Source organism: Homo sapiens, chromosome 4 (genome assembly GCF_000001405.40).
Source record: "Homo sapiens chromosome 4, GRCh38.p14 Primary Assembly".
Taxonomy (NCBI): Eukaryota; Metazoa; Chordata; class Mammalia; order Primates; family Hominidae; genus Homo; species Homo sapiens.
In genome coordinates this window covers 37,894,886-37,919,699 of record NC_000004.12, presented here as the reverse complement: position 1 = coordinate 37,919,699, position 24,814 = coordinate 37,894,886, and the positions used below count along the sequence as shown (strand labels likewise).

General features: G+C 41.3%; 1 protein-coding gene across 18 annotated transcripts in view, besides 2 other annotated features; it reads right to left on the bottom strand.

The window, feature by feature from the left end:
* TBC1D1 (TBC1 domain family member 1) overlaps positions 1-24,814 on the bottom strand; it is a 248,090-nt gene that overhangs the window by 219,474 nt on the left and 3,802 nt on the right. For 17 of the 18 annotated variants that reach the window (XM_011513659.3, XM_011513660.4, XM_011513662.4 and 14 more), the window contains exon 2: positions 17,188-17,697. In XM_011513659.3, the coding sequence (XP_011511961.1) occupies positions 17,188-17,604 (417 nt within the window). In that variant the 5' untranslated portion in view covers positions 17,605-17,697. Of the gene's footprint in view, positions 1-17,187; positions 17,698-18,063; positions 18,523-24,814 lie in introns of those variants that run through there. The other variant, XM_047449890.1, reaches the window with a different exon arrangement.
* Positions 17,873-18,436: an enhancer, noted in NCBI's record as "OCT4-NANOG hESC enhancer chr4:37902885-37903448 (GRCh37/hg19 assembly coordinates)". NCBI's record gives its function as "activates a minimal SCP1, AML or CMV promoter by ChIP-STARR-seq in naive H9 embryonic stem cells {active_cell/tissue: H9 hESC(naive)}" and the evidence as "EXISTENCE:reporter gene assay evidence [ECO:0000049][PMID:30033119]".
* Positions 19,611-20,149: an enhancer, noted in NCBI's record as "H3K4me1 hESC enhancer chr4:37901172-37901710 (GRCh37/hg19 assembly coordinates)". NCBI's record gives its function as "activates a minimal SCP1, AML or CMV promoter by ChIP-STARR-seq in primed H9 embryonic stem cells {active_cell/tissue: H9 hESC(primed)}" and the evidence as "EXISTENCE:reporter gene assay evidence [ECO:0000049][PMID:30033119]".

Below are 24,814 nucleotides of genomic sequence, written 5' to 3'. Positions count from 1 at the left end.
AGCATTGATAGTGTCAAAAGAGGAGGAAGCTCATATATCTAAACTATGAAACAGATGATACAGCAGATTCTGCATTTACATTACTTATTTTGAGAAATATGTATTTCTCTTTTTTTTAACCAGTGATCACATATGAGTCTTAAATAGGAGTAGTTGTGCTTTTCCCAGTAGTTAACTGCATAGAAACTGTGATCAAATTAAAATATATAACCTTAGCCAGGCGCGGTGGCTTATGTCTGTAATCCCAGCACTTTGGGAGGCCCAGGCAGGCAGATCACTTGAGGTCAGGAGTTTAAGAACAGCCTACCCAACACAGTGAAACCCTCGTCTATATTAAAAATACCAAAAAAAAAAAAAAACAAAAACAAACCAGCTAGGCATGGTGGCACATGCCTTTTCAGGTACTTGGGAGGCTGAGGCAGGGGAATCGCTTGAACCCAGGAGGTGGAGGTTGCAGTGAGCCGAGATCACACCACTGCACTTCAGACTGGGGGACACAGTGAGACTTCATCCCAAAATAAAATAAAATCTATAACTTTAAAATTCTTTGAGTTATTTCTTCTCCTGAACCTTTCATTTTCAAACTGTACATTTCCAGTTTTTTTTTTTTTTTAAAGATGGGGGCGTAAGTCTTCAAGCCTCCAGATAGGAATCATTTTCTTGCACAACTTTTCTCTGTGTTGTTGGTATTATATTATAAGGAGTAGAACATCATCTAAAACCTTAGAAGGAAATTTATTCAACAGTCCTCAGCAATTATGTTGAATTATGCTAATGAACATTTTCATAATGTTATACATACTAGAAATGTAGTAGGAAATTAAAATTAGTATGTGTTGTACAGAATACACATAATACATCATTTATAGTTGACAGGGGAACTGTACACTTGTACATCTGGTTTTAGAGACTAATTAAAAATTGTACGGCTAGGCTTACAAGGGAAATGCCAGGCCAGGCAGGGTGGCTCATGCCTGTAATCCCAGCACTTTGGGAAGCCAAGGCAGGCGGGCCACCTGAGGTCGGGAGTTTGAGACCAGCCTGGCAAACATGGTGAAAACCCATCTCTACTAAAAATAGAAAAATTAGCCAGGCGTGGTGGCGCACATCTGTAATCCCAGCTACTCAGGAGGCTGAGACAGGAGAATCGCTTGAACCTGGGAGGCAGAGGTTGCAGTGAGCTGAGATTGTGCCACTGCACCCCAGCCTGGGAGACAGAGCAAGACTCCATCTCAAAAAAAAAAAAAAAGAGGAAAATGCCAAAACACACCGTGATCACATTTGTTTGTTCACTGTTTAAAACATACATACAGGCCAAAAAAGAAAAATCTAAAATCGTATTTAGCATAATTTTATTTTCTTCATGAAGCACAAAGGCTACGTACAACTTTCTGATATGAAACATGCTTTTCTTTTCTTTTTGTCATTGTAAAAATCAGTGGTAGTCACCTCATTTATCATGAGCAGTCTGAGATAACTCATAATATGGTGGAAAGAAAAAGGCAAGAACAGATTTTAGGAATCCAAGTGTTATAAATCAAGCTTTGAGAATGGAAATCACATGGATAAGACATTTAATCACTTGCATGTACAATTTGCTTCCAGTTGTTTTTTTAAGCTGTGAATCCCTCTAAAGCATGCTATTATAATTAAAATGTAATCTCTGCTTTGAAATTTAACATCATGGAAGTAGCACAGGGCAACTATGGGCTCTAAGTCATGCCAGCTCCTCAGGGGATCATCTTCAAAATAGCTTCGTCTATTTTTTTTGAGGTGGGGAGCACTGTATCTATTAGTGTATATAAACTGACTGTATCTGTTTGGAAGCAGATGCAATATTTTTATTGCTGAGAAAAGTATAATAAAGGGGGAAAATTGGAAAAATCTAAATGATCATGAAGAGGAACTAGCTAAATTATGGTACAAAAGTATATAGTCCAGATAGCAGCAAGGGTTATTCTGTCATTCGGAAGATTTTAAATATTGGATCAAAATCCCTTCTCATGGGGAAAGAGAAGCCCGGCATCCATCCCAAACTCTCTAGGGGTTCTTGGGAGTCCACAGTTAGTCCAATTCCCTGCCCCAGTGAATCCTGGCTCTCTGCCCTGTGCGGCCTCCCATGGCTCCTCCATCCCCATCTACTGTGGACAGACACACCACACAGAGCCTTTCTTTGATGTTCACAAATAGTGTTTACACAACTTCTTTTATTTGTTTATTATTTTGAGATGGTGTCTAGCTCTGTCGCCTAGGCTGGAGTGCAATGACGCAGTCTCGGCTCACTGCAACCTCTACCTCCCGGGTTCAAGCAATTCTCGTGCCTCAGCCTCCCGAGTAGCTGGGATTACAGGCGCCTGCCACCACGCCCAGCTAATTTTTGTATTTTTTAGTAGAGACGGGGTTTCACCATGTTGGCCAGGCTGGTCTTGAACTCCTGACCTCACGTGATCCACCTGCCTCGGCCTCCCAAAATGCCGGGATTACAGGCTTGAGCCACCATGCCTGGCCCACACAACTTCTTATATGTGGTAAACTGTAATAGGTATTTGGGGAAATGAGCAAAGGGAGGCCACAGAGGAGGGAGTGAGATACTCAGACACTCTGTGGCAACATACAAAACATAGCAGCAGGCCAGGCATGGTGCCTCACGCCTGTAATCCCAGCACTTTGGGAGGCTGAGGCAGGCGAATCACTTGAGGTCAGAAGTTCAAGACCAGCCTGGCCAACATGGTGAAATCCCGTGTCTACCAAAAATACAAAAATTAGCTGGGCGTGGTAGCATGTGCCTCTAATCCCAGCTACTCAAGAGGCGGAGGCTGGAGAATATCTTGACCCCGGGAAGCAGGGGTTGCAGTGTGCAGAGATCATGCCACTGCACTCCAGCCTGGGCAACAGAGTGAGACTGTCTCAAGAAAACTAAACAAAACAAAACAAAACAAAACAGTAGCAGCTAACTAAAAGCTAAACATCAGCCCTCCCGTTGTTAAAAGACTAGTCATTCCCCCTGCTCACCATCAAAAATAGGAATTTGACTTTGGCTCCTGATTTGCATACTCTTGAGTCCTGACTTTCTCCAGAATCTTGTTGGTTGCTTATGCTAAGCAGATTAGACATCCCCAAGCACTTTCAGCCCATCCTGGCTGTGCTGTCTTTTCACAACCAAGATGGTTTATGAAAGCTAAATAAAGATGATGTTCTTGCCCAAACAGCAGCTCTGCTTCAGTCATGAAACTAGCCCTTCCTTTCCCCCTGCTTCATACAGGGGACAACTACGAAATTGCTAAAAACGATGCACCTCTATCACCATAAAAAGATGTTTAAAGTATATGTATATATATATGTATATATACACATATATACACACACACATACAGAGAGAGAGAACAAGAGAGAGAGCTGAGTTATAAAAGAAATGGTAGAAAAGGATATAAAAAATGATTTCATACAGAAACATTTGTTTCTACAAATAAGACAGTAAAATGTATAAAGATATACACCAGTCTCTTAATGTTGGTTTCCCTCTAGGAGATGGGAGTCAGGGGAAACTTGTGCCTCTAACTCTTTTGTATGAATGCATTTCTTACATTTAGCATCAACTCTTGTATAATCAGAAAAAGCATTTCAGAATAAAAAGATGGATGCCAAGAAAGTGGGCTCCAGTTGCATCTAAAAGGACTTAATCTACACGCAAGGGTTTTCTCAACAGTAAAGGCTGCTCAGCCTTCATGACATCTCTTCCACAACTGTCACCAATAAATGCCAAGAAAATTTTGCATTCATACAGACCAAAGAAGAGAATGGTGCAGATTCCAAAGAGCTGAGAGATGATGACCATTACCCCATGAACAAAACTCTAAGGGAAAGAAGCTCAGGAAGGATGGGGAGAGAGGGGTGGCTTCTAAGAACAAAATCCTGGCTGAACAACAGGAGTCTGTCCTGATGAAGGAGGAAAGGAAAAATGAGGAAATAAATTAATATGGGTGCACAGGGGACGTGATGATGCTTAATTTTGACTAAGCCATGGGATGTCCAGATATCTGGTTAAACATTATTTCTGGGGTATGTCTGTGAAGGTGTTTCTAGAAGAGATTAGCATTAGCAGGCTGAGTAAAGCAACAGCCCTCCCCAATGTTAAAGTATATATTTCAATACCTCAAGGTCTGGAATAGAAGAAAAAGACAGAGCAAGGTTAAATTTGCTCTCTACCTGATTGCTTGAGCTGGGACACTGATCTTCCCCTTCCCTTGGTTCTCCCGGCTCACAGACATTCAGACTCAACTGGAATCTATGACTTCAGCTCTCCAGCTCTCAGGCGTTTGAACTACACCACTGGCTTACCTGGGTATCCAGCTTGCAAATGGCAGATCATGAGATTTCTCAGCCTCCATAATCATGTGAGCCAGTACTTTATGATGTGTATCCTATTGGTTCTGTTTCCCTGGAGAATGCTGACTAATACAGGAGCTTCTAGATGATATCAGGTTAAAAAAAATAGAAAGGAAGAGTACATCCTCAAGAATTAATACAAAAAGGTAACATTCATTCATTCATTCATGAAGTATCTACTATGTGCCAGGCACTGTTCCAGGTGCCAGGGACTAGCAGTGAAGAAGACAGGCAAGAGCGTTGCTCTCTTAGAGCTCAGGCAGGTAAGTAGGTGGTTAACATGGAAGCATATGATTCCGAACGAGATAATTTGGACAATGATAATATCTGAACAAGATAATTTCAGATAATGATGAGTAATATGAAGGCATTAAAACTGGATGAAGTGATATTGCTTAGTGTGGGGCTACTTTTGAGTGGGTGGCCAGAGGGCGAGGTTTGAGCTGAGTCCATAGTGACCTAAGGAAGCAGCCATGCTTCCAGGCAGAGGCAACAGCGGATGCAAAGATCCCAGGTGAAGAATGAGGTTGTCATGTTTGAGCAATATAAACACCAGGGTGGCTGGAGTCCAGAGAGCAACGGGAAGGGTGTGGGAGATGAAGTCTACATGATAGGCCCCAGCAAAGATACAGGACTTTAGTCTAAGTACTGGGGAAGCCACTAGAGAGGTTTTGAGCAGGGGAATGGCATGATTTCATTGGGTTTTAGAAGATGTCTTTGGATGTCTGGTGGAAAGAATAAGCAGGAACAGAAACAAAGGGATGAGTTTGGAGACACTGCAGTAGTCCAGATAAGATATAATGGCGCCTCAGGCTTGGGCTCTGTAATGGAGCAAAGGAAGTGGTGTATTTGCAATGGGTTGAATAATTTGGATGAGGGATAATGGAAAAAGAGAAATCGAAGACGACTCCTAGGCTTTGGCTGCAGCAACAGTCATCACCACTTAGAGCTATAGAAGAAGACTGGGAAAGAAACAGATTGCAGGGAGTGGAATCAAGGGTTCTACTTTAGCCATGTTGAGTTTGAGATGTGTAGTTAACAGCCAACTAGAAAAGTCACAATGGCAGTTGAATAGAGAAGTGTGGAGCTCTTCGAAGAGTCTGAAGTAATAGATTAACAACTGAGAGTTACCATCAATTAGGTGGTAGTTAACACTGTAAGACTGGATGAGTTCATCTGGAAGGGTGTCCAGAAGAGAAATGTAGGAGACCAAGTTCTCAGGGGACATAAAAATCAGAATTGAGAAGAAGAGGTAGAAGCAAAGAAGACTGGGTAGAGACTACTAGAAAGTTGAAGGAAAAACAGGCAGGTGTGGTTCTCCAAGAGCCAAAAGAGAGTGTTTCAAGATAGAAGAAACATTCTCTTGCCAAACTATGACAAAAGCTACTGAGAAGTTGAGTAAGAAAAGTACAAAGAAGGGACCACTATATCTCACAAGCTCTAGGTGGCTCGTGACATTATAAGAGCAATTTTAGTGGAATGATGAGGTCAGAAGCCCAGCTGGTAAACCAAAGAAAAGGCAAGGGAGTGCAGGTGAAGGTAGCCACTATAACTCTTGAAGGAAAAAAAAAAAAAAATTGGGCCAGTAACTGGAGGGAGCTGGAATGGGATGTGGGGTCATCGGAGGGTGATATGGGAGATATCCCTATATATATATATACACACACACACACATATATATATATACACACATATATATATATATTTATTTTTTGAGATGGAGTTTCACTCTTGTTGCCTAGGCTGGAGTGCAATGGTGTGATCTCAGCTCACCGCAACCTCTGCCTCCTGGGTTCAAGTGATTATCTTGCCTCAGCCTCCTGAGTAGCTGGGATTACAGGCATGTGCCACCACACCTGCCTAATTTTTGTATTTTCAGTAGAGATGGGGTTTCTCCATGTTGGTCAGACTTGTCTTGAACTCCCGACCTCAGGTGATCCACTCACCTAAGCCTCCCAAAGTGCTGGGATTACAGGCCTGAGCCACCGTGCCCAGCCCTGAATATATTTTTTAGGAGGCTGAGCAAAATCAGGTTAGGAATTTCACTTCTATGTTATTTTTCATACCATTCCTTAGGAACCAAGCATATAAGCATCAATAGGACAGAGAATTAGGATCTGTCTGACTTTCTCTTCCACTGGAGACCAACAGACTATTAAAACTCTGTTGGGTATTGAGGGGAAAGTGATCAGAAGACATCAGCATGGACTCAGCAAGAACAAGCTACTTCCTAATTACACTATGGGTAAGATGCTTCTTGAGTTTTCATATCGACTACTGTGCTAGCCTCCTAACTAGTTTCCCTCATCTGTCTCTCATCCCTCTATTCCATCCTTCACTCCAAATTCTCCAAATAAATTAATCCATTTCACTTCCCTGATCAGTGCTTCTAATAGTAACTGTCTTCGTCTGTTTGTGCTGCCATAACAAAATACCTGAGACTGGGTAATTTATAAAGCACAGAAATTTATTTCTCACAGTTCTGGAGGCTGGGAAGCCCAATATTAAGGCTCAGGTAGGATTGGTGTCTGGTAGAGTTGAGTCTCTCCTCCCAAGATGGAGCTTTGTTGCTGCATCCTCACATAGTAGAAGAAGGAAGCAGGGCTTAATATGTTTCATGAAGCCTCTTTTATAGGATCATAATAGCATTCATGAGGGAGGAGCCCACATGACCTAATCATCTCTTAAAGACCCCACCTCTTAATACTATTACATTGGTCGTTAACTTTCAACACAGACATATTGGAGAAGACACATTCAGACCACAGCAGCAACTTTCTTTTTCAGGGGACTGTCCAACTCCTTCAGCAAGGCATACAAAGCCCTGTAAAATCTGGCCTTAGCCCTTCCTTCCTATCTCATCTCTGACCATGCAAGTTGTAAAACTCTAACCCAGCAGGCCCAGCTACAGTGGGCATCTCATCATTCCCCATCCTGCTATGGCATGGCACATACTATATTTTCTACTTACAGCATACATTCAATCCTCACCCAACCCATTGGCCTGGGAAACTGCCAGTAGTCCTTTAAAACCCACTCGAATGTCCCATGGAAAATAAATTACATTTACCCTGAGTCCTTTCAGAAGATACATCTACGATGAACAGCTAGATATTACAGGGAACAACTTCCCTTCAACATGAAATGAATTTAGGAGCGACTTTAGTTGTCTGAAACAGAGAGGGGAGCATTGTCAGGTAGGATATTCCTTAGACTGGGAAGTGTGGAAATAGAGAATGACTTGCGAAAGTCCTGAGACAAGATCCATCCATGTCCACTGTTCAGTATAACCTATGTAATTATTAGATGGCTATTATACTCAGGAAGAGCCAAAAATCTCTCTACAAATTTCTACTGTTCCTAGTTCTGCCCTCTGGAGCAATTCATAGTTCGTCTCTTGCTTTTTGTACATGAAGCTTTTCAAACAACTGCAGGCATTTATTACACTAGCCCTCCTCCTATTCTCCCAAATTTTTTCTTCCTGACTTGCAGATGTTTGCTAACTCCTGAAAATATGGCATTCAGAACTTACATTTGGCACATAAAACACCATTATAGTTCTTGAGGGCACAATCATGCGTTGTTTGGCTTTGTACCCCAGCACCCAGCAAAACACATGACCAACACATTGGTAGTATTTCAATAAATGAATGAACACCAAACCTGCAAAATTTCAAATACCTACATCACCTGATCTTAAGAAATGACAACTTCCAATGCATGGTCAGAATAAAAGCGGCCAGGAAAGGGTCCCTGCAGGATGGGCAGCCACCAAATCACTCTTCAGATGCACATCAGCAACCACACTCAAGTCCACCTCTTTCCCTAAAATCCTGCATCAGGCTCCTCCCCCAAATCTCAACCCCAATCCAGTGTCTTCTGAAGTTTTCCCAGTGCCAGGCTAGCCCGGCACGGCACCTTCTGTGGTTGTGGGTTGAAGCTGACAGACCACAATGAGTAGGGTGGATGCCTGAGCCTCCAAAGGGAGGAAAGGTATTCAGAAGAGAGAAAAGCGAGAAACAAGAGATTTAGCTACTTCAGTATATCCTAAAATGGTGGCCCACATGGCTCTGATCCACTGCAATATATTTCTAGACTTAAGTGACCTTTATGGAAGAACTCTGAGCAACATTCAGTCATTAACAAATGAAAGGCAGCCAAAAAAAAAAAAAAAAAAAAAAAGGAGGAGGGGAGAACCTACGGTCACTCTGTGATGAATATTCCTATTACTTCTGGAAATACTTTTTAGGAAGCTAGTCTAGTCCATGGCTAACAGGAAGAGACAGAATGCAAGCTACATACGTAGTTTAAAATTATCTAGTAGGCACATTTTATTTTTAAAAATTATATTTAAAATATCTTTTATTTTTAAATGTTGTGGGTGCATAGTAGGTATATATATTTGTGTGGTACATGAGATAGTTTGATACAGGCATACAACGTGTAACAACAACATCAGGATAAATGGGGTATCCATCACCTCAAGCATCTATCTTTTGTGTTACAAACAATCCAATCACACTCTTTTGTTTTAAAATGTACAATTAATTATTATTGACTATGGTCACTCCGTTGTATCAAATACTAAATCTTATTTATTCTTCTAACTATTTTTTTTTGTACCATTAACCATCTCCCCTCACTCCCCAGCCCCGACTACCCTTCCCAGTCTCTGGTAACCATCATTCTACTCCCTATCTCCATGAGTTCAATTGTTTTAATTTTTAGCTCCCATAAATAAGTGAGAACATGCAAAGTTTATCTTTCTGTTAGTAAGCATATTTTTAAAAGGTAAAAATGAAATAAGTAAAATTAATTTTAGTCATGTAATTTATTTAACCCAATATACCCAAAATATTATTTCAACATGTAATCATTATAAAAAAACTATTGAGATTTTTACATATTTTTTCAAATGAAGTCTTTAAAATCCACTGTGTTTTTTATACTTACAGCATATCTCATTTCAGATTGGTCACATTTCAAGTGCTCAGTAGTTGCAAATGACTACTGATTACTGTACGGGACAGTAAAGACCTAAGCTATAAATAAATCTCCCTAAGATGCAAGTCAACTTTAGGTGCAAGACACTTGTAAAGTCTATTCTTAGGGATGGATTTATTTTAAAAAATAATTATCAAACTCAAAGCCTTTGGTAAAAAATGCAAAGCTATATAAAGTCATATGTGTAAAACAATAAAAAGACTTTAAAAAATTAAGCATCTATCACAAGGTGTATGCTTCTGGAGCCCACAGACTCATTTTTCAAAGTCAAAAATAAATTAGGTAATCAATCTGGTGTTAAGAACCCAAACCTTCCAACAAATACTTCGGAGTTCATGCAGTCCCGGACATTCTTTTTATAGACGAAAAAATTCCTGCCAGCCCTTGCACCCAGCAACCAACTTCTGTCTAGTGTGACAGACAGTCAAGTGCTGATTAGCTGACATGGATACACTGCACTGAGTCATAGCTGCTGCATGGGACCCCAAATGAAAATTTACATAATAAATCAGGCTGGGATTAAAGGTGCCCAGTGGAAATTTAATATAGGTAAGAAGTCCTCCAAAACATACCTAACAAGACCCCCTCAGAATCATTACCTGTGTAGCAAAAGAGACAAATGTTTGAAGTTTAGAAATTATGACCAAATGTAGAAGGGGGAAGAGGTGAGAATATTTGAAAAATAATACTATGTTCTTCAAAATAATCACCCTCAGAAACAAAATGCTCTAGCTCTGTGTTGTAATCTTCGATCTTCACTCTAGCGAAGAAAGAAAGTAATGAGCCGGCAAATATAACAGCCAAGCAAGAGATGCAATTGAAGCCAGACTCTATTGAAAATCCTGAAGTAATGGTGCATATATTAAGTGGCCAACTTAAAATTCCAAGCAGACGGTGAATTATTAAAACAAATTAGTAATGGGTAAAATACAAAATGATACAAAGCGACACTCAAAAATAAGGTTTCAAAAATTTTTTACATTTAAGTAATAAAACTCAGCCAAGGCAACAATGGCTTTTGATACGGGGGATGGACTCCTGCTAATCACAAGAAAACAGCTTCAGACTGCCTTCTTGTTTAATATGCGAGGTAACATGCAGCCCAGAGAGGCTGGGTGAGGAGGCACAAGGTCCTATGCCGTTACTGGGAAAGGCGATGTGCTTACAGGGCCTCATGCAAGAATACACTGGTTCCTTACAGGAAATTTCAAAAGGAAACATTTATTGGTTTAAAATCAAATCTACAAAGAGTCAAGTAGTCTTAAAATTAGTGGTAAGGGAGCCCACACGGTTCAGTCTCAGATATGTGTCACCTTCAAGAAATGCAGCTTCATTGCCAAGAATCATAGAAAAGAAAACCCGTTTTGTCAAAGGACATTAAAAGGAATCCAAATACATCTTCTCCAGCGACGTTTAATAAAGTCGATTTCTACATGTCTGTTTCCCACGCAGCTGCTCTGTTTCACTCTCCCCCGCTCCACCCAGGCCCCATGCTCCTGTATCGCACTGTTCCCCCTCAAACTTAGCCTTTCTCCCAGCAAGAAATAAGACTTCCTTTTTGGGAGAGGGAGGAACCAGGCTAGCAATTACCAGATTCTTTTAGCAGGGTGGAAAAGGGGAAGGCTGCGAGCATTTTCACATTAATGACATCTGTCCCGTCACAGTTGTTAAACACCCACGCCGCGTTCAGAGTGGACACCAAATCCAGAGGATCACAATCTTATTAGAGTCGAGAACAGTGCTTGAAGAGCCATGACATATTTCGAGTGCGATAAGAAATGCCAGTTAAAAAACATTTGGCGTGGCCAGGCACAAGTGTCTCATGTCTGTAATCCCAACATTTTGGGAGGTGGAAGCGGGCGGATCACTTGAGGCCAGGAGTTCGGGACAAGCCTGGCCAACATAGTGAAAACCCATCTCCACTAAAAATACAAAAATTAGCTGGGAGTGGTGGCGGGCGCCTGTAATCCCAGCTACTCAGGAGTCTGAAACAGGAGAATCTCTTGAACCCGGTAGGCAGAGGTTGCAGTGAGCCAAGATTGCACGACTGCATTCCAGCCTGGGCGACAGAGAGACCCCCCAAAAAAGGCGCTTACACCAAAAATACTTCCATGTACACTGTCTCTGACTTACCCTGGGCCCGGCACACACTCTGCCCACTGCCCTCGACCACACACCAGCCTGCACTTCTCCACCTATTACCATCTCAAGAACCCCCGCCATTTCCCACTCAAAATCCCCTCTTTCCTTTGACTGATGTAAAACAGCACCATGTAATGTCAGAAGCCCCAGCCTAACACTTCTGCTACCTGCTCCTCAGTGCTGGAAAGTCCCTTTAAAGGAAGCAGAGCTTTTTCCTCCGTGGATAAAGAAAAGAATGAAAATGCAATTACTTTTATGAATGATCTAAAATGACAATCAGTATGAGGGGCAGATTGGATTTTCTTCTGAGTAGAGATTTTGTAGAAGAGACAAGGCTGAAGAACTGGAGAGAAGAAGAACCCTGAGATGATTTTCTTAGACTTGAGAATGTTTCTAGGTCTGAGTCTGGGCAGACTCTTGATTTCTTTGGGATGTGATGAGGTAAAGATCTAGTCAGGGTCACTCATGCAACCATCAGTTTCCAGAGTGGATATGTCCATTTACTTACCATGTTTACTTACCATGGACTCAAAGGCAACACTACATTTTAACCCAGGACCTTATGCCACTGTGTTCACACATTCTGAGGGACGTTCATGGGTGTTAGGAGAAAATGTAACCTATGGTGCATGTATGGTGCATGCCTGTAATCCCAGCTACTTGGGAGGCTGAGGCAGGAGAATCGCTTGAACCCGAGAGGCGGAGGTTACAGTGAGTCAAGATTTCACCATTGCACACCAGCCTGGGCAACAGATGAAACTCCGTCTCAAAGAAAAAAAAACTGCTAGATAGATCAATGGATTTTAACATAATAAAGTGCAAAAAATACTTTGATATAGTTTCAGATTTCATATTACAGCTAACCTTCTAAAAACTACCACTTGTCGAGTTGTAGCATTAAATAAAAAGATCCACAATTTTCTAAAAAGGCTATGGATATAGTGCTCCATTTTCCTACTATGTAGCAGTGTGAGGCCAAATTTTCTTCATATATTCAATTAAACAATCCATCACAACAGAATGAATAGAGAATCAGCTATGAGAATCCAGTTATCTTCTATTAATTCAGACATTAAGGAGATTTGAAAAAATGTAAAACTCTTATTACTAAATATTTTTTGGAAGACATAGTTATTCACAAAAACATGTTAACATGTAGATGTTTATTACTTTTGTTTTTTAACAAATTAATATCTTTACAATATCTGAGTTTTAATTTCTAATAGAGTACATATTAGTAGATATAACCCAAATAAACCGATGGTCTTTGGGATCCTTAACAACTTTGAGGAGTGAAAAGAAATCCTTAGAACAAAATGTTTGAGATGCTGCCTTACTGCATTTGATCATGGAAGCTTTTCCATGTGGAGCAGTTTAAGTATACAAGGGGTCTTCAAAAAGTTCATGAAAAATGCATATTATTTAAAAACTATGCATGGATTTCCATTTTTTGGCACCAAATAAACTTGTATTAACTTGTAGCATGTCTGAACAGGATCTGGGATGAGGCTCTAAGAAGGATAAGACATCAGTTTGAAAAGACCCCCTATCAGAGAAACATGAATCCTGCTAAAATCAAAGCAAGAAGAAACATCAAACTTATGGTGAAGTTTGGGTGGAAGAATGGTGAAATCACTGATGCTTTACAAAAAGTTTATAGGCACAATGTCCAAAGAAATCAGCAGCTTACAAATGTATAACTCATTTTAAGAAAGGATGAGGCCAGGTGTGGTGGCTCATGTTTATAATCCCAGCACTTTGGGAGGCCAAGGCAGGTGGATTACTTGAGGTCAGGAGTTCGAGACCAGCCTGGCCAACACGGTGAAACCCTGTCTCTACTAAAAATACAAAAATTAGCCAGGCACGATCATGTGTACCTGTAATCCCAGCTACTTGGTGGGCTGAGGCAGGAGAATCGCTTGAGCCCGGGAGGCAGAGGTTGCAGTGAGCCGAAATCGGGCCACTGCACTCCAACCTGGGCAACAGAACAAGACTGTGTCTCAAGCGGGGGGGAAAAGAAAAAGAAGGGACGAGACAATATTGAAGATGAAGCCTGCAGCAGCAGACCATCCAGATAATTGTTTGAGGAAAATATTCATCTTGTTCATGCCCTCATTGAAGAGGACCAACTAGCCAATATCATAGACATCTCTGCTGGTTCAGCTTACACAATCCTGGATGAAAAATTAACACTGAGCAAACGTTTTACTAGATGGGTGCCAAAACCATTGCCCTCAGATCAGCTGCAGACAAGAGCAGAGTTTCTAATGGAAATTTTAAACGGGTGGGATCAAGATCCTGAAGCATTTCTTCAAAGAATTGTAACAGGTGATGAAACATAGTTTTACCAGCGCAATCCTAAAGATCAAGACAAATTTAAGCAATGGCTACTGAGAGCAGAAGTGGTCCAGTCAAAGCGAAAGTGGACTGGTCAAGGGCAAATGGTTGCAATAGTTTTTTGGGATGCCCAAGGCATTTTGTTTGTTGACTTTCTGGAGGGCCAAAGAATGATAACATCTGTTTATCATGAGAGTGTTTTGAGAAAGTTAGCCAAAGCTTTAGCAGAAAATCGCCTGGGAAAGCTTCACCAGAGTCCTTGTCCACCATGACAATGTTCCTGCTCATTCCTCTCATCAAACAGGAGCAATTTTGCAAGAGTTTCCATGGGAAATCATTAGGCATCCACCTTACAGGCCTAATTTGGCTCCTTCTGACGTCCTTTTGCTTCTCAATTTTAAAAAATCTTTAAAGAGCGCCAATTTTTCTCCAGTTAATAATGTATAAAAGACTGTATAAACATGGTTAAATTCCCAGGACCCTCAGTTCTTTAGAGACCGACTCAATGGCTGTTAACATTGCTTACAAAAGTGTCTTGAACTTGATAAAGTTTATCTTGAGAAATAAAGCTTATGTATATATGTGTTTTTTACTTTTTAATTCAATTTTTCCACAAAATGTTTTGAAGTTTCCTCATATTCTATGGAACATACAATAGAAAACAATCTCATGGCATGCTTATAAAATTGTTCCTTTACATGCCTCTTCTCCCAAGACATTACTCAGTGAATTAATTAGATGCTGGTCAAAGGGTTTCCTCGCAAACTGTAGTTTTGTGTTTATGATGCTGGCAGTAAATGCATATGTCTTCTCTGGCAAATGCAGTTAGTGCTGACCTCATCTGTTTAGAAGAGGCCTTAACCTGGAGAATTATTTCACCCAGCAAATGTTATAAGTAGTCAAGAGAATGCTCCTACAGCAGATAATCCTTCGCTATGAGATACAGTGACATTGGTGTCCCAAGAACAGAAAATCTATCACGCTGTTAGCATCATGGCCAGTGTGATTTACTGTTCTGTTTCCAACAACAAAATCACTGATTGAGGTATATACCTATACTACAAATTATTCTTTTATTAAATGAGCAGAGTAATGACAATTTGTGTTTGCAAAAATGGTATGCAAGCCAAAAATCACTTAAGAACTAATTCATATTTCAACCATGGGTTTTTAGCATATAGAGTAAGTCCAATTCTCTACTTGGGGAAAGACTGGAAGTCCCAATTACAGAATTTGGTTATAAATCTCTTTCTCTTGTCAGGCATCCGAATGACTGGCCAGAAGCCTATTCTCAGATGGCCGTAAAAGATTTTGGGAAAGAGTCAAATGTGTAAAATGCTGAACAACGATTCCACGCACAAACTCTCCCCAAGGAAATTCAGTCCAAATACTATATAGAGCTGGACTGAGGTACAGGCTGTTCAGTCCTCTCATTTTCATTCTGGAATTTGTCCAAATAATAGGAGCCATTAAGTTATACGTGTAGTTTTTAAAATGTTCCTCAAATATGACCAGAATCTCATCTTTGAAAGCTGAAGGCACTCATCTAGGTATCATGTTTCTTTTTACCTAAGACGTGAAATGAAATTAGCATATAATCTGCCTCTAGTAAAATTTTCTTGAATGAAAATGTTTTTATGGCTATAAATGCTTACTAAGTTTCAGGTCGAGTGCTACCTCATTTAGTCTTTCCAGCAACTCTATTGGATAAATACTGTAATTATCCCCATTTAACAGATAAGAAAACAGACTCAATTGCCTGAGGCCACCCAGTTTATGGGTGCAGAAGTAGGATTAGAGTACAGGAAGTTAGTCCCTCTGAATCTCCAAGCCTGATGCTGCCGTGCCCACTTGAGATGTGTGGACAATAACATGAAATGATTTATAATATGAGAGTTTGATTCTGTGAGTGAAATGGTGGTTTTGAGCTCCATATTAGCCTTTATTTCACAAAGCCTTCTCTACCCTTTGGGTGTGTGTTAGGCTCCCTTCTCAGTCCTTCCATTATGTCCTATACATAGATCACCTGGTCCTATTCCCCACTGATGCTCCTGCCTTCCTACAAGCCTCTGCTAATATCATCTCCAACAGTACCTGCAACAGCAATTCTGAATGACTAGAAGAACCAACAAATGAACAAGCAAAAGGGCATCTACTTGATACCAAGAATATTAATTTCTAAATAAGGTCCTTACACCCTAGAGAGTACATAAAATAACCTAATGGAGTGCAGAGAGAAAACTTTAGCATTTCTATCCAGATTTTAACCTTGAAAATATGAGAAGCTTTCAAGGCTTCACTGACAGTTAACAGGTGGATTGACACTCGCATCCTCGCCCTGTACATGTGGCAGACAGCTTGAATCACATGTGACTTGGCTTGCTTGGCACCCAAAACAACGGCAAGACTCCACAGTCCATGGGGTTAGCTGTGGAGCCCTGAGCCCAACTGAGAAAGTTGCTATTTGCATTATATTTTCAATTTTATCTAAGCTAATCCTCATAAAATGGGCAAGCATCTTCAAATGAGTCCTGCCCAGAGCTACAACGAATGCTAATAACAAAGCAAGCACAAATGAACGAGGAAAGAGCAGAACTTTTACCATGTCTCACATTTTTTTTCAGCCATATCATGTGATAATAACAAGCTAATCAGATCTGACCTGAGGTTTGCGAAAGAAAAAAACACAAAGAACCCCTGATCGCATCAAAACTTAGATGCATATCCAGCGTTCTTATCAATGACCTTTGCCTAAGTGAACATTATGCCTTGGGAAACTGGCCAGTAGCATTTTTACACAGTTTACGAATGACTATATTTTTCTTAATAGGATTACAAATGTGGAGATTTAGAACTTTGCCACTCAAAGTGCAACCTGCAAAAGGGCAGCATCAGCATTTCTTGGCAGCTTGTTACAAATGCAGTCTTGGGGTCCACCCCAGACCTACTGAATCAAGATTCACATTTTAACAAGATCCCCAGGTGACTCACAAGCTCATTTCAGTTTGAGAGGCATGGCTTTAGAACATTCATCTGAAATAATGTACATCTTAACACTTCTGCTCTTAATTAGTAGTTTTAGACTGATTTCTCTTGAATTTTTGAACTCAAAAACTGATAATTTCTCGTATCTGTTTTCAAATGTGCTTTAAAACTATAAACTATCACCATAAAACAAAAATTCAGCTAAGTAATCAATTTATAACTGCAGCATTAATTCCTTATTCATTTCAGTATACTTAAAATAAATATCCTGACCCCCATACAATAAAAACCAGCCAGCCACACCTTAGTCTTTTGGATCTCCATCTCACTTACTTTTGTTTGATCATCGGCTTTGAACACATAGCAGATACTCTGCCGGTGGACAGCGTCTTCCTTAATCAGACAAGCAAAGTAACTTGGGTCATGACTGTTGTGAATCAGTTTGTGAACACGCTGAGGCTTGCACTCAAAGATGCTGGAATAGATCAGGGGATCCCACTGTTGACTTCTCCCTGGCTCAGGTTCACATCTCAGTCCAGAGGGTGAAACGCAAAGCCGGACTTGCTTGGTTACAGGTTCCTTTCTGGTGGACTGCCTGCTGAGTCTTCGCACCTCAGCCACAACCCAGGGCAGCATGGGCATGGTGGTCAGGGAATGCACAGGCAGGGAGCCCACCAGCTGCAGGCCAAAATCCACCGAGACCTCGTTAGAAAGCAGATGTTTCCTTGCTGTGAATGTTATTGGTTCCATCTTGGGAAGGGTCTGGGAACTCAGCAAAACAGTTATCACTGTTTTTCTGTTTTGGATCAAGCAATCTATTTTACACACTTCATATGCAGAAACCTGGGGGAGAAAACCAGAGGCATTAGAATTTAATGAAGTCATAGCAATAGCTACCTTCAAAGGGCTATTATTTCAGAAGAACTCAAAAGCCTGAAACCCAAATATAATAAGAGGTTCAAATAAGCTTCTCTGCCTAGAAAGAACTTTCTCAAAATTGTATTCCATATAAAACCTGGTTATGGCATAACTGTCACACTCATTACAGGTAACAAAGAGCCCACTGGGAAACTACTATGAAACACAAACCTCCTAAAGCCAACAAAGGCCCCCATGATAGAAGACGATACAGTGCTACTCTGACAGCATTAAACCTCAGTTTTAAACAACTGATCTGGGACAAGTAATATCACTTAAGATATTACTTACATTTTAAAAGACTCGCCCAGGTAGTCTAGAGGTTCTGAATCACAAATCCACCTTCCATTAACATGTCTTCAGTGCCTATTATGTTGCAAACATTGTCTTAAACACTGTTTTATTCAGTTCATGTGCTATAAGCTATCACTCCAACACCTGGCTTCTTCTCATCAACAGATATCAATGTTAGGCCAGGTGCAGTGGCTCACACCTGTAATCCCAGCACTTTGAGAGGCCAAGATAGGTGGATCACCTGAGGTCAGGAGTTTGAGACCAGCCTGGCCAACATGGTGAAACCCCGTCTCTACTAAAAATACAAAAATTAGCCTGGTGTGGTGGTAGGTGTCTGTAATCCCAGCTACTCAGGAGGCTGAGGCAGGAGAATTGCTTGAATCCAGGAGGCAGAGGCTGCAGCAAGCCAAGATTGTGCCACTGCACTCCAGTCTGGACAACAGAGTGAGACTCTTTCTGAAAACAAACAAACAAAAAACAGAAAACGCTTCTACCAAACCCAAACCCAAACTCCCTTAACTACATTTCCCTGTCTATGTTCTTTCTTCCTTTTTTTTTTTTTGAGACAGAGTCTCGCTCTGTTGCCCGGGCTGGAGTGCAGTGGCACGATCGTGGCTCACTGCAACCTCCACCCCCTGGGTTCAAGCAATTCTCCTGCCTCAGCCTTCCAAGTAGCTGGGATTACAGGCATGCACCACCACACCTGGCTAATTTTTGTATTTTTAGTAGAGATGGGGTTTCACCATGTTGGCCAGGCTGGTCTCGAACTCCTGGCCTCAAGTGATCTGCCCACCTTGGCCTCCCAAAGTGCTGGGATTATAGGCATGAGCCACAGTGCCCAGCCCTTTTCTGTTTTCAACAACCACGTTTGATGTATCCTAACGCCTTCTTGTCCTATTGGATGACAAAACCCTTTTGTTCAAAGCTGAGTTGTCTGTGGGATCTCAAGCCCTATTCTTTACTCACTTGCTCCCTGGATCTTCAGTCTCTCCTGTATCCAGCTCCCTGCCCCTGCCCCACTCCCCTAGCATATGGACAGATGCTAAGGTGAAACTCCATGAAGGCAGGCGTTGCATCTGTCTGATTCACTGCTATCTCCCTCGTGTCTGCCATAGTGCCTGACTCAAAGTAGGGACTCAATACGTATTTTAAAAGAATAACTGAGGGGCTCAATAAGTATTTTAAAAGAATAACTGAGGTCTCTCCAATCGAAAAAAAAAAAAAAAGATATTTCCTTTGATTTCAAACTTCCCTTGGCCATGGCTCTTTCTCTTCCTTCCCTCCAAGGTAAGGTCTACACTTACTGTCTCCACTTCCTATTGACCATCCATTCCTGGTTTGTAAGGCCTGGTTTGCCCTAGGGATCCACTGAAATTCTGTTAAAGTTGCCGAGGTCCTCAAGGTTGTAAAATTTAAAGGAGGCTATTTAGCCCCTGACTGCCTTGTTTGCTCTGACGAATTTCTCAATCTTGGCCACACCTTCCTTACTTTTTTTTTTTTTTCTTTTTTTTTTGAGACGGCTCCTCGCTCTGTCGCCCAGGCTGGAGTGCAGTGGCGCGATCTCGGCTCACTGCAAGCTCCGCCTCCCGGGTTCGCGCCATTCTCCCGCGTCAGCCTCCCGAGTAGCTGGGACTACAGGCGCCTGCCACCGCGCCCGGCTAATTCTTTTGTATCTTTAGTACAGACGGGGTTTCACCGTGTTAGCCAGGATGGTCTCGATCTCCTGACCTCGTGTTCCGCCCGCCTCGGCCTCCCAAAGTGCTGGGATTACAGGCTTGAGCCACCGCGCCCGGCCACACCTTCCTTCTTGAATCTCTTCTGGTTCTTATCTTACCTTTCTGGTTGTTTCTTTCCACATACTTCAAAGGCTTTTCTTCCTGTGTTTGACTTCATCCTCTCCCCTCATTTCACCTGCTGTTTTGGGCAATCTCACCTAATCTTTTGGTGTCAAGCACCACATTCTGGTGATCCTGCTGCTGATGACAGCAGCTGACTTCTATTGAGTACCACGCACTTTGCCTATGTTGTCTCATTTAACCTTTGTAACATTTATCCGCTAGAGCCCACTATGATGAACTAGGAAACTGAAGCCCGGAGAGCTTCAGTCACTTATCACAGGAGATGGGGGGCAATTTGCACTTGAGTCTAAATCCCATCCCCTTGACTGCTGCACAAGAATGCATCTACCACATACACCCTAATGGTGCCCAAGTGTTCTGCTCCCACGGAAGCCTCCTTCCTGAGTTCCAGATCCATATAGGCCATTAAATATTTCTATCTGGATAGCCTATAGGCTCCTAGGCCTGAATTTAGTTATTTTAAAGCTAACTCGGTCTCATCTCCCTCCTTCCCAGAATTTCTTTTCCCTCCTATGTGCTGTATCTAGGTGAATAGCATCACTACTCACTGAATGGCCAAGGGGTCATTCAGATCCCTTCTTCATCCTATTACTACCTCTAACTGACTTCACCAACTACTCTTTCTTTTTCGTCCTAGAGAAAAGGTGCCCCATCCTTCAATCCACCCATCGCATATTTCCTGGAGTAACTTAATCAACACAAAATTTATCATATCACACCCCTGCTAAAAATTCTCTAATAATTCCCCCATACAATCTGAAGTCTTCTACCTGGCATATAAGGTCTCTCAGGAATCTGGCTGTGTCTATATCTCCAACTTTATATTCTCCCCTAAAATGCCCTCCTTGGTGCACCTTTTAAAGGCTCTGAAGATAGAGAACTAGTTATGGTTCCCCGTTTCTCATGCCTCTGAGCCATGGTGCATACGGTTCCTCTCTCCTCAGAATATAATCCCTGCCACAAACTGCAAAGGGTCTGAGATTTTACCTTACTTGCAAACTAACACGTTAGCCCGCCACAGTTATCCTGCTGGTAGAAAACATGAGACTCCTGGGTTGGAGACGAAGGACAATTTATTACTCAGGGCAGTCACAGTAGCCAGACAGTCAGCATTTCTCTTGGTTCCCTGACCCCCAATTCCCACAGGTCAGGTGACATCTGTATCATGGTGGGTTACAGGAAAGGCAGCTGAGTTTAGGGAGCCGGAATATCTTATAGTGGGAAGTACAGGAAGCAAGCGTGTCTGCCCTTTGCTCCAGAGGAAGACTCTATTTCTATCTTCCATGACTGTTTGCTGTAGAAACATGATGGAAAAGGTAGTTTGGAACACAGGCACTCAATGCCCTGCTTACAAGGTGTGTAGAAACAGGAAGGACCCATGGAGAGTCATCTACCAACAGTCTCCATCCTTGTCTTCTATTTCCAACTAGTACTTAAGTCCTACCTCAAGCAACTACCACCTCTTTTTTCCAAGGTGTTTTAGGGCATGTATCAGCAGGCTTTTCTGCACTTTCTACCCAATCACCATATTTAAGAGTTTGAATAGGTGTCCCTCAAGAAGACCGTAAGCTTCTTGAATTCTTAAGGTTTGGGGTTTCCAAAATCAGTATTCAAATTTTAAACCTTTTCTGAACAGGAACTGAAGTCTATTCTTTTTACTCTGTGTTTTTCTGTATAATATATATGCACAATGCTAAGAGCAAATTTTTATAATATAATTTGAACATAACTCATAGCTAATTTTTTATTTCAAATGTTCAAGAAATAAAAAATAAAGCAATACTTTATTTACAGCTCAGGCATTTCATGAAAGTAAAGTCCCTGACTGTCCTTTAAAGCACAGCTTCTCCTAATAATGAAAACGGACTTGAAGTTCACATAATCCCATAAATAATGATCTCTCTTTCTCTTTATTCTCTCTCTCACAGGTGAAAATGACATTAAATGTCTGGATCGACTTCTACTCCTGTAACAGAATCTGTTTCATGTTCTAACTGTTGACAGCTGCTAATCCCAAAACATGTTTAAAGAAGTACTAGAATTATTACAAAGGATAAATCTGAGCTCTATCAATTATTTTAGATGATGCAGTTATTAATATAGTGGCAACAAGCATAGCAGAATTACTTTCAATTTCCTTCTTAGAGTATAGATGTACACAGTACCAAAAATTCAGTCATTTAAATCAGTTGATAATAATCAGTCATCAAATGAGTCCTGCCATTTCATTGACAAAACATTTCAATGCCTGAAGTTTTTGTTTTTCAACCAGCTGTAGCATGTTCTTAGCTTCTCTGTAAAAAGTAGATTAGACCTTAGCACTGTTCATAAACTATCAAATAATAAGTTCTACATCCAACATAGCCATAATTATTTATAAGCAATTCAGATTCTGCTAATATAAGATTCAGGGTAACTTAGATCAGGTGAATATCTACATTACTTGTCAATAAAAACTTCCATAACAGAGATAAACTATGCAAATAATATTAGGGATTTGGTTTAAAAGTAACTGCAATTTTTGCCATTAAAAGGAATGGCAAAAACTGCAATTATTTCTGCACCAGTTTAATACTAACAAACCATTTGATTATTTTTTAAAGCCATCTCAATCCATGTTATTTGCACTCAACCTTTGACCATTCTTTAAGCCCCAAATAGAACCTCATATTCCAAGGAGAACTCTTATGTTTCATACCCTCAGCAAGAAATACTGTGATTCCAATAAGCTTCTAGTAACGTTCTTGTTAGTAGAGTTGTCTGTGTACACGCCCTATCCCTCTACAGCAAACCTGTGTATTCTGCACAACTCCCACCTAGCACAGTCTTTAAACATAGTAGCTACCCAAGACACAAAGATGTCCTTTATTAGAACAGTTTCAATAATCTTGTTAATGTGTCCTGCTATGCTACATATCTCTGGCAGCATACACTTAGAATCATAAAATTTTAAAGCTAACAAGCTCCTTTTAAGCCATTTAGAAATTTCCCTAATATTTGAAATGAGGCAACTAGATTCTGGAAAAGTTAAGTGGCTTGTCCAAATTTAGTGACAGAATTGGGACAATCCAAGTCCCTGACTCCCATCCAAGTGCTGCAGAGAACCCCAACTTCCTCATGAAAACACTTTCAAGTGTGAAGTTGAAAAAGCAAGTTACTCAGCTTCTCCAAATATTGTTTGTTCTTATAAGAGAATGGAACAAGATCATCCCCAAGTTTTCTTCCATCTCTAAAATCTGGTAAATCTTATTTTCATAATGTATAATACCAAATGTCCCCAACATTGTGTGGGGATGGAAAGCTGCTCCCTTCTTCCCTTAAAGAACAAAAATGTGGGGGAGGTACATGAAGAAAGGATGGGAATTATTGATCAGGAAGTGAGAGAAGCAAGGGTAGGTATTAGTAAGCTGCTTATTGGGAACCCCCTTTGTTCCCAGCCCCCTCCACTCCTTCACAGCAAACTACAGAGAGCAGGATGGGGACTTTACAGTAACTGACAGTACAACAGCCTCTGCAGCTTCAGCCCTCACCTCCTCAGAATGCTGGTGGGAGTGGGTAGGGAGAGAAGAAAGGATGAATGGAGGGGTGCTAGTGGCCTCTAGCTCTAGGTCAGATTAGGAACCGGCCAATATTGATTGGCTGTTGGGGACCCCAGAATGGACAGGAAGTCCCCAGGCAGCTACTCATATTGCTCTGTGAATCAATGGTTTAATTTCTCTGTTCTTTACGCCAGATGGAGTGAGCATGCACCTGAACAGAATTATACTGCAACCTGAAGTACTCTAATCCCATGCAGTAGGCTCACTGACTTGGCTACACTCTTCATCCACTTCCTCCACAGGATTCCACCCCAACGGGAGCAGTGTGTTCCTCACCCAGGAATCCCACAGGGAGCAACAACCCTTGGAGTAGAGGCTGTTTCACCATTGCATGGAGCTCCTGAAACCAGTGGTTCTAAATGTTTTCATCATCAAGGATGCTTTAGTACTGGGGTGTGCCTTTCTAATTTGACATGTAAAGTAATGATGCTTTTGAATGACTTCTTTCTCATATAAATTATTATTATTATTTGAGACAGAATCTCACTCTGTCACCCAGGCTGTAGTGCAGTGGCGTGATCTCAGCTCACTGCATCCTCCGCCCCCTGGGTTCAAACAATTCTTCTGCCTCAGCCTCCCCAGAAGCTGGGATTACAGGTGTGTGCTACCATGCCCGGCTGATCTTTGTATTTTTGGTAGAGATGAGATTTCGTCATGTTTGCCAGGCTGGTCTCCAACTCCTGACCTCAAGTGATCTGCCAGCCTCGGCCTCCCAAAGTGCTGGGATTACAGGCACGAGTCATATAAATTAGAGCCAACTCAAGGCTAGTCCTTTAGAATGGCACTGTCACTTCTTATACTCTTCATTGCACAGGAAAAAGGGTGGGAAATGGGCGAGTGTCCTAGCTGGCCCTCAGAGATTATGTATAACCCTCCTACCTGCAGTGTTCCTTTAAGTTATTCTGCTAAAAGTAAAAAGAATAGTTACCAACACATTATCATAGTGTGTTTATTAACTGATTTAACTTACAAAACGTTGGACAATAAAGGAATATTATCATTGAATAGTGGCACAGAAAAGTGAGGTCACCTGCCCAAGGCCATACTATAAGAAGTGGCAGAATCGGGATTTGAACCCAGGCCCTTTGGCTCCAGAGTTTGCTTGCTCTTAACCACTTTGCTAGAGCAATATCTGTTGACCACCTACCACTTCATGGACATTTTACATTCATGATCTTCTGTACGTTCACAAAGCTGAGAAGTAGGTTTTGTCATGCTCATTTTACCAAAGGGTTCCCTCACTAATAAATTGTGAAGGTGGCATTTGAATCTATATCTGTCTTATCTACA